This window comes from Homo sapiens, chromosome 15, assembly GCF_000001405.40.
Source record: "Homo sapiens chromosome 15, GRCh38.p14 Primary Assembly".
NCBI lineage: Eukaryota > Metazoa > Chordata > Mammalia > Primates > Hominidae > Homo > Homo sapiens.
Window position 1 is genome coordinate 74,728,332 of NC_000015.10, and position 15,781 is coordinate 74,744,112.

Consider the following 15,781-nt stretch of genomic DNA (forward strand, 5'->3'; position numbering starts at 1 on the left):
GACTGTACTGCTGCCATCTCGGCTCACTGCAACCTCCCTGCCTGATTCTCCTGCCTCAGCCTGCCGAGTGCCTGCGATTGCAGGCGCGCGCCGCCACGCCTGACTGGTTTTCGTATTTTTTTGGTGGAGACGGGGTTTCGCTGTGTTGGCCGGGCTGGTCTCCAGCTCCTAACAGGGAGTGATCCGCCAGCCTCGGCCTCCCGAGGTGCCGGGATTGCAGACGGATTCTGGTTCACTCAGTGCTCAATGGTGCCCAGGCTGGAGCGCAGTGGCGTGATCTCGGCTCGCTACAACCTCCACCTCCCACCCGCCTGCCTTGGCCTCCCAAAGTGCCGAGATTGCAGCCTCTGCCCGGCCGCCACCCCGTCTGGGAAGTGAGGAGCGTCTCTGCCTGGCCGCCCATCGTCTGGGACGTGAGGAGCCCCTCTGCCTGGCTGCCCAGTCTGGAAAGTGAGGAGCGTCTCTGCCCCACCGCCATCCCATCTAGGAAGTGAGGAGCGTCTCTGCCCGGCAGCCCATCGTCTGAGATGTGGGGAGCGCCTTTGCCCTGCTGCCCCGTCTGGGATGTGAGGAGCGCCTCTACCCAGCCGCGACCCCGTCTGGGAGGTGAGGAGCGTCTCTGCCCGGCCGCCCCGTCTGAGAATCAAGGAGACCCTCCGCCTGGCAACCGCCCCGTCTGAGAAGTGAGGAGCCCCTCCGCCCGGCAGCCACCCCGTCTGGGAAGTGAGGAGCGTCTCCGCCCGGCAGCCACCCCGTCCGGGAGGGAGGTGGGGGTCAGCCCCCGCCAGGCCAGCCGCCCCGTCCGGGAGGGAGGTGGGGGGGTCAGCCCCCCGCCCGGCCAGCCGCCCTGTCCGGGAGGGAGGTGGGGGGGTCAGCCCCCCGCCCGGCCAGCCGCCTCGTCCGGGAGGTGAGGGGCGCCTCTGCCCGGCCGCCCCTACTGGGAAGTGAGGAGCCCCTCTGCCCGGCCACCACCCCATCTGGGAGGTGTACCCAACAGCTCATTGAGAACGGGCCATGATGACAATGGCGGTTTTGTGGAATAGAAAGAGGGGAAAAGCGGGGAAAAGATTGAGAAATCGGATGGTTGCCGTGTCTGTGTAGAAAGAGGTAGACATGGGAGACTCTTCATTTTGTTCTGTACTAAGAAAAATTCTTCTGCCTTGTGATCCTGTTGATCTGTGACCTTACCCCCAACCCTGTGCCCTCTGAAACATGTGCTGTGTCCACTCAGGGTTAAAGGGATTAAGGGCAGTGCAAGTTGTGCTTTGTTAAACAGATGCTTGAAGGCAGCATGCTCGTTAAGAGTCATCACCACTCCCTAATCTCAAGTACCCAGGGACACAAACACTGCGGAAGGCCGCAGGGTCCTCTGCCTAGGAAAACCAGAGACCTTTTTTCACTTGTTTATCTGCTGACCTTCCCTCCACTATTGTCCTATGACCCTGCCAAATACCCCTCTGCGAGAAACACCCAAGAATGATCAATAAAAAAAAAAAAAAAAATAAGGACATGCTTGAAGCCTCCTCAAACCACGAGCAATAAATCCATCCTGCACTCTTGAAAAAAAAAAAAAAAGTATCTTTAGCAGAACCTACCAGGCCTGCCTGCCTCTAGTTCTAGTGTCCCCTACCTTGAGTCTCAGATAAAACATCACTTCCTCTGGGATGCCTTCCTGGATTCTCCCCCCAGAAAATTATGTTTCTCCTGGTCGCTGTTTCCAGCACTTCTCCACGGTAATTCTTAGGACACTGGATACTTGCTATAGCCCCGACCCAACCTGCCACTTCTTTCCGTATGCTCTAACAAGGAAAACCAACCTGCAGGAAATTGATCTGATAAGCCAAGTCCAGGCAAGATATTAATAACTGGTAAAGGAATTAGACACAGCTATACTATACACAGGCCAAATGGCAAGAGAGATGTTGAATCCAAAGTGCTCATGCTATAATGGTGGAATTTAGGCAACAGAACAGGCAGGAGACAAGGGAGGTATTGCTGGGCTTTCTCAGCACCCTTCCAATTATTCTACTCTCTGCATCTTTGATTCAGTCTGAGGAGCTTCATGGTACCCAAGAGAGGTCTGTCCTTCAATCCTAGTTGGAGCTAGAGCCACAGAGAACGAGCCTGTGTGGAAGCCATGGCAAGGAAGTGGAAAGCAAGGCACTCCTAGATCCTCCAACATGCTCTGCAGCACAACCTCTTCTTCAGCTTCCCAGGGTCCCCACCAATGCCCCAGCGCTGGAGAATCATGGCAGCCTGGTCACCAGGGCTGGAAGACCAACTAGTGCTAGGGCTCCCAACCAGGGACCCTTCTCTTGATAGAAAGTGCGTTGCTTTGCTTGCATTATCTAAGAGGCTCTTGACTCCTCAAAAACTCATTAGCTAATAAAACCAATTCGTCTCTCACTTCTTAGGTGGAGAGATGGGTGCCAGAAAAGAAAAGGCCCAAGTACGCATGGCAAATCAAAGCAGAGCCTAGAACTCCAGCTTCTTGCTTCTAGGCCAGGGCCCGTCTCACCATAACTTATCATCCCAGACTATGAGTGAAGCCCCAGGGGGCCAAAGGTAGACAGACTCAGCCCCTGGGCCAGGGCCCCTCACCTCTCCACACCCCTGGACTGGTGCACTGGGGTTACAAGAGATGTTGCACTTCTCATCACCAAGCCGTATCTTGGCTAACAGTTCACAATAACAGGAAGGGGGCCCACACTGAGCACTGGGCAGAGAAGGAGGGAGTCAGGCAGGAGGTTAGAGGACCTTGGCCTGGAGCTGAACACTCATTCCTGGGTCAAAGTTTGCATGCCTTTGCGTGAGAAGCTCTTTGGCTAGGATTCCCTAGTGATCAATACCAGGAGCAGGGGCAGAAGTGCTGGGGAGGGGAAAGGGCTCTGGGCTGGAGAGATCGAGACAGCTGAGAGGCCTTAGCCCAGCAAAATCATCAGCCTAGGGCTTTCAGTGAGCCCTGCTGAAGGCTGTGGGCAAAGGGGACTGGAAGACAAGCAAGATCCACAGCAAACCCCTGCCCCATGGTAGAGATGGGAGTCATACCCTAGACAAGTCCTGTGATGAGTCTGGAGATGCTGCAGGAGCTGTGAGGAGGCTGGGGCAGGAGGGGTGTTAAAGGGATGCTCCCCGGAGAGTGGAGAACTAGAGAAGGCCCCTGGAGTCTAAGGAGCATAGGAAGGGCATTCCTAGCATGGGGAAGAGACACAATGTGAACAACAGATAGTAGTGGGAGGTCGGGGTGAGGCAGTTTGGGTGGATGTGGAGAACTGGGACTTGTCTCCCAATGTGTCCTCTCCCCACCCAGTCATCCCCTTCTCCTACTGAGATCTGAGCCTGAGCATCTTCCCTTCCTCTCCTGCCTGTGCCCAGAGAGCCAGATAGATTGAGTTTGCAGGATACAGGGCTCAGATGGGGCAGCTCTTGGCTCCCTGGCTCTTGGCTGCTATAGTTAGGATGACAGTATTTTCCCAGGACAGTCTAAGCCTGTTGTCATGGAAGAATTGTTAAAAGTGCCCTCTTTCACTCTCAAAAGATCCTGGCTTAGATGATAATAAGTTATATAGTCACCCCAGTGATGGTGGGCATGGGTGGGTTTTGGGGGCCCAGCATCTGTTCTCCCTTCTTTTGGCAATACCACATCAATTGTCCTTTCGGGATCACCTCACCCCTACTCTCAGCCCATAGGGTTACTGTAGCTGACCCACCCCAGGCCAAGCCAATGAGAACCCTATGGGAGTTTCCCAACACCCCCTGCCTTCTGTTGCTCGCCAGAGTGCAGTGGTGCGATCTTGGCTCACTGCAAACTCCACCTCCTGGGTTCAAGCAATTCTTCTGACTCAGCCTCCCAGGTAGCTGGGATTACAGGCGCCTGCTACCACACCCAGCTAATTTTTTTTTTTTTTTTTTGTATTTTTAGTAGAGACGGGGTTTCACCAAGTTGGCCAGGCTGGTCTTGAACTCCTGACCTCAGGTGATCCCCCCTGCCTTGGCCTCCCTGGGATTATAGGCGTGAGCCACCACACCTGGCCCCCTATGGGAGTTTTGATGAAATCATTGGAAAAGAGAGGTTCTCCTTCTGTCAGAGGTGGCTACACTGGCTAGAAAGTAAGTCTGAAGCTGCCAGTAGTCATTTTTTAAGGAAGCCGGCCTTAGAATGATACCTACTCAAGGAAAAGCAGATCTGGGAGATGAGGGGAGGAAGCGGGGGGGAAATTGAAGACATTAAGCCTCTAGATCCAGTTATTCCTGAAGTCAATGAAGTTCACCCATAGAAGGTCCCTGTTAAAAAACCAATATCACCATCACCTCCCCCTTCTCTTCCTGTCTCCCTCTTTTTCCTTCTTCTTCACCCCTGCCTCATTCTCTTCCTCCTCTTCCCTCTCCTCCTCCTCCTCTTCTTTCTTTTCTAGTATGAGGTGGGTTTGGGGGACTTACAACTGCAAGAACACAAACCTGCCAGCCAGGAAGCCTTACCTGGCAGAGCTCTCTGAGTGACTAAAGCCTGGTACTTGCAGGCCCCAAGAAGACCTACCCAGGTTGAACAGAGTCCTAAGAGGTTACTTCTATCTAGCAGCTTCCCACTGGTCTGCTTCTGTACCTAAATGGCCACCATCCGAACCACTGTGGGAGGCAAATTGTATCTCCAGAAGACCCCATGATGGTGTCAAGTTGTTGGCTGGACAGTTCCTGTGAGAGAAGCCATGTGCGTGACATTGTTGATCAGTTGAGTCTGCGCCGTGTCACTGTGCAGTTCCTCCTGCACTCCCAGCAGTCTGGGAGCAGAGCTCACCACCATGGAGGCTGGAGGCTCCTTGGCTCCAAGCAAATAGCCAACAAGGGAAAGGAGGAGAAAACGGAACCCAGAGAGGGTTGCTATGGAAAGGCTATAGACAGGAGCTGTGGCCTTCAGTAGAGGGTCACAGCTAGTGCTCAAAGACCCGCAGAGAAACAGCCTACATGTTCCAACCTCGCTCCATTCGTGCTCTCTGTCCTGCTGGTGACTTCCATGAATGGAACCTAACTGGAAGCCAGGATGCAAAGAGTCCATGAATGCAGCCTGCATAAGTTAGCCCTCTAGGACAGTGGGCAGAGAAGGGTGGAAAGTGAGTCTGGAGAGACAAGTGGAAAGCATCTAGTGCTCTACCCCAGGGCCTTTGCACTTGCTCCTCCCTTCACCAGCAAACTTTTTTTTAAAGCTTGCTTGCATTTATCTTTTCCCCCTTCCCCAATTTTTATTTGTTTATTTTTCATACAAATATATGGGGTACAAGTGCAATTTTGTTACATGCATAGATTGCAAAGTGGTCAGGCCAGGACTTTTAAGGTACCCAAAAGCATTGTACAATTACCCATTAAGTAATTTCTCATCATCCACCTCCTTTACCAGAAAACTCTTCTTTCCCAAAATCCTCATGTCTTACTTCCTCAAATATCACTTTCTCAGTATGCCTTCTCCTATAGTTTTGTTTTTGTTTTTTTGAGACAGTCTCACCGGGTTTGCAGTGGCATGATCTCAGCTCACTGCAACCTCTGCCTCCTGGGTTCAAGCAATTCTCCTGCCTCAGCCTCCCGAGTAGCTGGGATTACAGGTGCCCACCACCATGCTCAGCTAATTTTTGTATTTTTAGTAGAGACGGGATTTCACCATGTTGGCCAGCCTTGTCTCGAACTCCTGACCTCAGGTGATCCACCCTCCTCGGCCTCCCAAAGTGCTGGGATTACAGGTGTGAGTCACCACGCCCAGACTCTCATATAGTTTGGATGTTTGTCTCCTCCAAATCTCACGTTGAAATGTAATCCCCAATGTTGGAGGTGGGGGCTGGTGGGAGGTGATTGGGTCATGGGGTCGGATCCTCATAAATGGTTTAGCACCATCCCCTTGGTGCTAAGTGAGTTCTCACCCTAAGTTCATGTGAGATCCGATTATTTAAAAGTATGTGGCACCTCCCCCTACCCTTGTTCCTGCTTTCTCTTGCACCCGCTTTGCCTTCTGGGATGATTGTAAGGTTCCTGAGGCCCGCACCGGAAGCAGATGCTGCATCCATGCTGGTACTGCCTCCAGAACCATGAGCCAATTACACCTCTTTTCTTTATCAATTACCCAGTCTCAGGTATTCCTTACCTTCCTTGGCCATCCCACCTAAAACTGTTACCCTGACTCATAGTTTCTATCCTTCTCTCTACTTAATTTTATAGCACTTAGAGACTCCAAACATACTGTATATTTTGCGTATTTATGTTGCAGATAGGCTATATCCCTCAACTAAAATGTAAGCTCCAACAGAGCAGGCACTTTGATCTCTTGTGATCAATGCTTCACGAATAGCATCTAGCACATAGCAGATGCTAAATAGATAGTTGTTAAATAATTGAATTTAAGCGTGGCAGGCCCCCAAGTGGGAAAATACACGAGATTTGAAGTGGCAGAGGCCTTGTGTGAGAGTCTGGTTCCTGGTAGGCAGGGCACCAAGTCCAAGACAGTCAGCTGAATGGATCCCCTCAGCTCAGATGCTTTTTTAATGCCTGCTAGATGGGCGTTAATCATTTTGCTCCCAGGAGATAGGTGATCAGGTACACTCCTGCCTTAAGAAGTTCATCTTGGTCTGGCCTAGCTTAGCATCCTGCCTTGTGCCAGCTTCACTCTATCCAAGACCAACATCTGGGCTGGGTCTCACTGCCAACCACATGGCCATGATCCTCAGACTTTCCCAACCTCCTCCAATTTTAAAGTCTCCAGGTTCCTCCCAACAGGATGGCTTCTCTCTACACACCCCAGATACACCACAGTAATCAGGGGAGATCAGGCTCTGCAGCTGCTCTCAGCAGGATTGGGACAAAAATCCTCCATGTTTTGGTGGGTGGGGAAGGGCTATGAAGATCCAGCCTCCGGGATGCTGCCCAGAGAAAGCTGGGGAGCAGGTGGCCCAGAGCTTCTGGACTGACCCTAGATGGAGGGCAGTGGAGATGAAAGGAGATCTTCTTTTTCCTTTCTCTTCTGCCTTTAATAACATCAAATATGATTAATTTAGGTCCATATTATAGATGAGAATTTGACTAATTCTTCTCAGGTTAGCAGTTTATTATTGCACAAATGTTTCCCAAGCCAATGAATTATGAAATAAGCCTTGCAGGGGAATGTTTGAGCTACTGAAGGGCATGTTCGGCATGATCAGAGGAACACTCTGTTTCCAAGTTAGTAATGCCTCTTTACATATAAACACTGATGTTTGTTGATAATGAACATTCATGTCCTCAATCAAAGCAGAGCCTCTGGGGACACTTCTCTATCAGCCAAGTGCTCCTAGAAGTGTTCCGCCCTGGTTAGAATGTGCGCCCCAATTTTCATGTGTTGGAAACATAATCCCAAAATTCATATGTTGATTAAAGGTAGTGAGGGCTTTGGGAAGTAATTAAGATTAGATAAGGTCATCAAGGTGGTACTCCCATGATGAGACTGGAGGCTTTATAAGAAGAGGAAGAGAGACCTGAGCTGACACCACACTCTTGCCCTCTTACCATGTAATGTCCCCCTCTGTGTTTTGGTGTTTTGGCTTGTTTTGTTTGTTTGTTTGTTTGTTTTTGAGATTGAGCCTCACTCTGTCACTCAGGCTGGAGTGCAATGGTGTGATCTCGGCTCACTACAACCACCACCTCCCAGGTTCAAGTGATTCTCTTGCCTCAGCCTCCCAAATAGCTGGGATTACAGGCATGCACCACCACACCCGGCTAATTTTTGCATTTATTCAGTAGAGACGGGGATTTCACCATATTGGCCAGGCTGGTCTGGAACTCCTGATCTCAAGTAATCCACCTACCTCAACCTCCCAAAGTGCTGGGATTACAGGTGTGAGCCACCACGCCTGACCTAGTCAGTGGTATCCTGTTATAGCAACCGAGAACAGACTGAGACATACATGCTCCCATGGTCTTTGCCAAGGAGGTAGCCTATTCAGATCCACTGGGGTGTCCAGCCAGTGAGGGCCACTCAGCCAACTTACGAATCCTTTTCCAACTCAACTGCTCCATCACTTGTAGACACCCAATAGCCCTTCCTCCCAATCTTGATTTTTCCTCCTTAGCACTCACCGCTCTTGTTTTGTCTAGGAACCCTCCATCTTCCTTTCTAGAACTATGTGCTTTAGGGGAAGCTGACCCCAGCCCCAGCCTCACAGAGTGGGTCTTGGCTGATCTGAACCAGTCATTGTTGCCCTGGCTGTCTTGCTGGTGATTTAATTAAACATAGATCTGTGACATGATTCTGGCCAATGATATGGGAAAAAATCTGCTGGGACAACTTTTAGGAGAAGCTTTCTTCACTCTTCAAAGAGACACATGAGAATGAAACTAGACCCCTGTCTCTCACCATATACATAAATCAAAACCAAAATGGATTAAAGGCTTCAATCTAAGACCACAAACTATGAAATTACTAAAAGGAAGCATTGGGAAAACTCTCCAGGACTGGACAAAAATTCCTCTTTTCTTTTTTTCTTTCTTTTTTTTTTTTTTTTTTTTTTTTGTAGAGGCACAGTCTCAACTATGCTACCCAGGCTGGTCTCAAACTTCTGGGCTCAAGCTATCCTCCTGCCTAGGTCTCACAAAGTGCTGGAAATCATAGGCATGAGCCACCTTGCCTGGCCCGGACAAAGATGTCTTGAGTGATATCTTACAAGTACAGGCTGAAGCAAAAATGGACAAATGAGATCTCATCAAGTTAAAAGGCTTCTGCACAGCAAAGGAAACAATCAACAAAGTGAAGAGACAATCCACAGAATGGGAGAAAATATTTGCAAACTACCCATCTGACATGGGATTAATAACTGGAATATATAAGGAGCTCAAACAACTCAACAGGAAAAAGTCTAATAATCTGGCTTTTAAATTTAATCTGGCAAAAGATCTGAATAGACATTTCTCAAAAGAAGAAATACAAATGGCAAGCAAGTATATGAAAAGGTGCTTAACATCATTGATCAGAGAAATGCAAATCAAAACTACAATGAGATATCCTCTCACCAGTTAAGATGGCTTTTGTCCAAAAGACAGGCAATGACAAATGCTGGAGAGGATGTGGAGGAAAGGGGACCTTCGTACACTGTTGAAAATGTAAATCAGTGTAAACACTACAAAGAACAGTTTGGAGGTTCCTCAATAAACTAAAAATAGAGCTACCATACGATCCAGCAATCCCACTGTTACGTATACACCCAAAGAAAGGAAATCAGTATGTCAAAGAGATATTTGCACTCCCATGTTGACTGCGGCATTGTTCACAAAAGTTAAGATTTGGAAGCAACCTAAGTGTCCACCAACAGATGAATAGGTAAAGAAAATATAGTGCATATACACAATGGAGTGCTATTCAGCTGTAAAAAGAATGAGATCCGGCCGGGCGCAGTGGCTCACGCCAGTAATCCCAGCACTTTGGAAGGCGTAGGAGGGCGGATCATGAGGTCAGGAGATAGAGACCATCCTGGCTAACACGGTGAAACCCCGTCTCTACTAAAAATACAGAATATTAGCCGGGCATGGTGGCGGGCACCTGTAGTCCCAGCTACTCAGGAGGCTGAGGCAGAAGAATGGCGTGAACCCGGGAGGCGGAGCTTGCAGTGAGCCGAGACCACACCACTGCACTCCAGCCTGGGCGACAGAGCGAGACTCCGTCTCAAAAAAAAAAAAAAAAAACCAATGAGATCCTGTCATTTGCAGCAACACGGATGGAACTGGAGGTCATTATGTTGAGTCAAATAAGCCAGGCACGGGGAGACAAACTTCACATGTTCTCACTTATTTGAGAGCTGAAAATTAAAACAGTTGAACTCATGGAGATAGGAGAATGATGGTTACTAGAGGCTGGGAAGGGTAGTGGGAGCAGGGAGGGAGTAGGGATGATTAATGGGTACAAAATATAGTTAGAAAGAATGAATAAGATCTAGTATTTGATGGCACAACAAGATGGCTACAGTCAATGTATTAGTCCGTTTTCACTGTTGATAAAGACATAGCCGAGACTGGGCAATTTACAAAAGAAAGAGGTTTAATGGACTTACAGTTCCGCGTGGGTGGGGAGGCCTCACAATCATGGCAGAAGATGAAAGGCACATCTCACATGGTGGCAGACAAGAGAAGACAGCTTGTGCAGGGAAATTCCCCTTTTTAAAACCACCAGATCTCATGAGACTTATTCACTATCACGAGAACAGCACAGGAAACACCTGCCCCCATGATTCAATTACCTCCCACTGGGTCCCTCCCACAGCATGTGGGAATTCAAGATGAGATTTAAGTGGGGACACAGCCAAACCATATTAGTCAATGAAAATTTATTGTACATTATTAAATAACTGAAAGAATAGATGTCTGTAACACAAAGGAAGGATAAATGTTTGAGATGATGGATACCTCATTTAACCCGATGTGGTTATTACACATTGTATGCCTGTATCAAAATATTTAATGTGCCCCATAAACATATACACCTACTATGTACCCACAAAAATTAAAAATTAAAATTAGGCTGGACACGGTGGCTCACGCCTGTAATCCCAGCACTTTGGGAGGCCCAGGTGGGGTTATCACTTGAGGTCAGGAGGTCAAGACCAGCCTGGCCAACATAGTGAAACCTTGTCTCTACTAAAAAGACAAAAGTTAACCAGGAGTGGTGGCATGCACCTGTAATCCCAGCTACTTGGGAAGCTGAGACATGAGAGTCACTTGAACCCAGGAGGCAGAGGTTACAGTGAGCCAAGATCGTACTACTGCACTCCAGCCTGGGTGACAGTGAGACTTCATCTTCAAAAAATAATAATAATAATAGGCTGGGTGCTATTGCTCACGCCTGTAGTCCCAGCACTTTGGGAGGCTGAGGCGGGCAGATCACGAGGTCAGGAGATCAAGACCATCCTGGCTAACACAGTGAAACCCTGTCTCTACTAAAAATACAAAAAAATTAGCCGGGCATGGTGGCAGGCATCTGTAGTCCCAGCTACTTGGGAGGCTGAGGCAGGAGAATGGCATGAACCCAGGAGGCAGAGCTTGCAGTGAGCCGAGATCGCGCCACTGCACTCCAGCCTGGGCGACAGAGTGAGACTCCATCTCAAAAATAATAATAATAATAATAATAAAATAAATTAAATTAAATAATTGCAAGGTGTGGGGAGTTTTTCTGAAAGGGGGATAAGTGGCAAGAGATACACTCTAGTCTCTCTGGCCTTTGTCAGGTGTGGATGATGTGATGGCCAGAGCTACCGCAGCCATCTTGTGACCACAAGGGAGCCAGCGTGGGGGGAAGCTGCATTCAAAGATTAGCAGTGCAAAAATGCAGAAAGATCCTGCATTTTTCAGGATCCTGGTAATAAACAGAGGATCCACTCAAACTGGATTATTAGAAGAATTCAATAAGGGGGCTATTTACAAAAGTGCAGGCAGAGCATAGAGAAACTAACCCAGGATAGTGTAGTACCAATGGACTAGTAACGGAGGGGAGCCCTCACCACCTTGGGCCTGAAGGAGCAAGGGGCAGGAACCCAGAGAGACACTATAAGGAGAGGAGAGCTGCCTAGCAGGTGTCTTCACAGACAGGGTCTGGAGGGGAACAACCCCAAACTCATTCTTCTCCTACCCGCCCATCTTATGCCAGTGCCTTCCATTGGCTGAACCCAACAAGAAGCCAGTGGGCGGGGAGCCCATGGACAATATGCAGAGGTCATCCTCCCAGAACACAGAGACTCGCAGAGTGATCTAGAGGACAAAGGATTTTCAGCACTACCCGGGCCTGCAATTATCTTTTTCATCTGTTTGCCTGCATATTGGCGGTCTCCTCCCTGAAGGCAGGAACTGCCTTACTGCTGTAAGTTTCCTCCTAGAACAGCGGATGGCTGCACAACTTACGCTCAAAGAATATGGTTGAGCACCCACTATGCAGCAGGCACTGTACTAGAAATCAAATGAAGCCGGGTGTGGTGGCTCACGACTATGATCCCAGCAATTTGGGAGGCTTAGGCAGGAGGATTGCTTGAGCCCAGGAGTTTAAGACTAGCCTGGGCAACATGATGAGACCCTGGATCTACAAGAATTTTTTAAAATTAGCCAGGCATGGTGGTGTGTGCCTGTGGTCCCAGCTATGCAAGAGACTGAAGGGGAGGATTGCTTGAGCCCGGGAGGTCGAGGCTGCAGTGAGCCATGATGGTGCCACTATACGCCAGCCTGGGCAACAGAGCAAGACTCTCCAAAAAAAAAAAATCAAATGAATAAAACATAGCGTGCCTCAGTTGTTCACAAGCTGGAGAGGGAGAGTAAAACCAAAGCAATATGGCATCTTGGTGTCATACCAGGAGAGAGACATGCCCAAGGAAGGAGGCTCTGACCAGAGTAGGGCCTGGAGGAGGTGGGCCTGGTACCAAGTGTTGAAGGACTTGTTTTAATGGAGAGGTGAGGATGCTTTGTCATTAATGCATCATAATATTGCAGTATGAGTAAGTATCTCTAACCCAAAAGCAATGCATTTCCTTGAGGGTGTTTGTTGAATGGGGAAGAAGTGGTTGGAAGGAAGGTTGGGTGTTCCAAACAGAGGGAACATCATGTGTGCATGCAGAAAGACAGAAAACTAGAGAAATTGTCCCCACTGGCTGGTGGGAAAATTGTGTGAGGAGGAAGGGATGGGAAATGAGGTGAGAGAAGAGTAGGAACTGGCTCACATGTTGAGCTGAGGAGTTCAAGCTTTATTCTGAATGCCTGAAGAAATTGATAAGGGATTTTGATTAGAGATCTGACATGCTCAGATTTGCAACTTCAGAGACTTCACTTGAGTGGCAGCGTGGAGTGTGTGGATTGGAAGGATGAGGGAGCAGGAAGCCTTAGAGCTTTGTGTGGCTACTTAAATTTAAAATTAGGCCAGGCGCAGTGGCTCACACCTGTAATCCCAACACTTTGGAAGACCAAGATGGGCTTGTTGCTTGAGCCCAAGAGTTCGAGACCAGCCTGGGCAACATGGTGAAACTCCATCTCTACAAAAAAATACAAAAAATTAGCTGGATGTGGTGGCATGCATCTGTATTCCCAGCTATTTGGGAGGCTGAGATGGGAGAATCACCTGAGCCCATGAGGTCAAGGTTGCAGTGAGCCAAGGCTGTGCCACTGTACTCCAGCCTGAGCAACAGAGTGAGACCCTTTTTTAAAAACAAAACGAAAAAACTAGTATTCACCTCACAGGGTGGCTATAAAGCTAAAACAAGGATGGTTCGTGTTAACCATGTAGCACAGAGCTTGGGGCATAGTAGGTGCTCAATAAATCTTAATGCATTATTCCTTGCAATTTCCATAAAACCAATGCAGGAAATGCCCCCAAGCAGAGTCTTCCTAAAGTTCTTGGGCAGGTGAGCATTCTTACTTGTGAACACTAATTGATTCAATAAATGTTTTTCTGAATAGGTGTTCCTCAGTAACTGTGGGGAATTGGTTCCAGGACCTCCCCACTAGCCATGGATACCAAAATCTATGGATGCCAAAGTCCCTGATATACAATGGCATAAAATTTGCATATAATCTTTGCATAGTATTTGCATATAATCTATACTTTAAATCATCTCCAGATTACTTGTAGTATCTAATACAACATAAGTGCTATATACAGAGTTGTTGGCCGGGCGCAGTGGCTCATGCCTGTAATCCCAGCACTTTGGGACACCAAGGCAGGAAGATCACCTGAGGTCGGGAGTTTAAGACCAGCCTGAGCAACATGGAGAAACCCCATCTTTACTAAAAATACAAAATTAGCCGGGCATGGTGGCGCATGCCTGTAATCCCAGCTACTAGGGAGACTGAGGTAGGAGAATTGCTTGAACCCGGGAGGCGGAGGTTGCAGTGAGCCAAGACTGTGCCATTGCACTCCAGCCTTGGAAACAAGAGCAAGACTCCATCTCAAAAAAAAAAAAAAAAAAGATTTGTTAGTTATACTATATTATTTAGGGAATAATGGCAAGAAAAGTAAGTTTGTACATGTTCAGTACCGATGCAACCATCCATCTTTTTTCCGAATATTTTCCATCTGTGGTTGGTTGAATCCATGGAACCTACAGATACGAGGGCCAACTGTGTGGCTGCATGCCAGCCCCTGCGTTGGAGACTAGAGATAGGAAGAAAGGCAGAAGCTGCCTTGACCTTCAAGGAGCTCAAAGTCCAGAGGGGCAACGGTGTTACGGATGCTGCTAAGGAGGGCAGTATGGAGGCTGTGGGAACTTAACTGCGGGGGAGCTGAGACTCAGACAGTGTGGTGACAGCTGAGCAGGGTATAAAATGATGAGCCAAAGTGGCCGGGGAATGCAGGGTGGGGAGAAGGTTTCAAGCAAAGGGATCAGCTTTGGAGAAAGACAGTAAAGGTGGGGGCAAGGGTGACATGGGGGGCAACAGAGCCAGAGAGTGAACAGAAACTGCTGCTGAAGCCTTTGGGTGCTAAGCAAAAGAGTTGGTTTTATCCTGAAATCTCTGGGGAATATTGAAGCACTTTTAAAAGGGAAGTAGTCAACATACCTCCAGAGTGGCTCAAATGAAAAAGATCAAAAATATCCAGTGGTGGCCAGGTGTGGTGGCTCATGCCTATAATCCCAGCACTTTGGGAGGCTGAAGTAGGTGGATCATCTGAGGTCAGGAGTTCAAGACCAGCCTGGCCAACATGGTGAAACTCTGTCCCTCCTAAAGATACAAAAATTAGCTGGGCATGGTGGTGGGTGCCTGTAATCCCAGCTACTCGGAAGGCTGAGGCAGGAGAATCATTTGAACTTGGGAGGCGGAGGCTGCAGTGAGCAGAGATTGTGCCACTGCACTCCAGACTGGGTGACAGAGCGAGACTCCATCAGAAAGAAAGAGAGAGAGAGAGAGAAAGAAAGAAAGAAAGAAAGAAAGAAAGAAAGAAAGAAAGAAAGAAAGAAAGAAAGAAAAAAAGAAGGAAAGAAAGAAAGAAAGAGGGAGGGAGGGAGGAAGGGAGGGAAGGAGGGAAGGAAGGAAGGAAGGAAGGAAGGAAGGAAGGAAGGAAGGAAGGAAGGAAGAAAGAAAGAAAATATCCAGTGGTGGTGAGGATGAGAAGCAGCTGGAGCCTCATACACACCGGGTGGGGGTATAAACTGGTTCAACTGCTTAGGAAAGTTGGAGTTTTTGTTTGTTTGTTTGTTTGTTTGTTTGTGAGACAGGGTCTCACTCTGTCACCCAGGTTGGAGTGCAGTGGCACTATCTCGGCTCACTGCAACCTCCTCCGCCTCCCGAATTCAAACGATTCTTGTGTGTCAACCTCTCGAGTAGCTGGGACTACAGGTGCACACCACCACACCCAGCTAATTTTTGTATTTTTAGTAGAGACAACGTTTTGCCATGTTTGCCTGGCTGGTCTCAAACTCCTGAGCTCAAGCGATCTGCCTGCCTTGGCCTCCCAAAGTGCTGGGATTACAGGTGTGAACCATTGCACCCAGCCAGGAAAGTTGTTTGGTAGAATATATTACTGCTGGACATTCACCTATCCTATGAACTAGCAATTCCAGCCTGAGCAGCAAACATGCATTCAAAAGCAGGTTCGAGAATGCTCCTGGATGGGCACGGTGGCTCACGCCGGTAATCCCAGCACTTTGGGAGGCCAAGGAGGACAGATCACCTGAGTTGGGAGTTTGAGACCAGCCTGACCAACATGGAGAAACCCCATCTCTACTAAAAATACAAAATTAGCTGGGCATGGTAGCCTGTAATCTCAGCTACTCAGGAGGCTTAGGCAAGAGAATCGCTTGAACCGGGA

At 48.6% G+C, this 15,781-nt stretch overlaps 1 annotated feature.

The window, feature by feature from the left end:
• Nucleotides 827–1,555: an enhancer, noted in NCBI's record as "NANOG-H3K27ac hESC enhancer chr15:75021499-75022227 (GRCh37/hg19 assembly coordinates)". NCBI's record gives its function as "activates a minimal SCP1, AML or CMV promoter by ChIP-STARR-seq in naive H9 embryonic stem cells {active_cell/tissue: H9 hESC(naive)}" and the evidence as "EXISTENCE:reporter gene assay evidence [ECO:0000049][PMID:30033119]".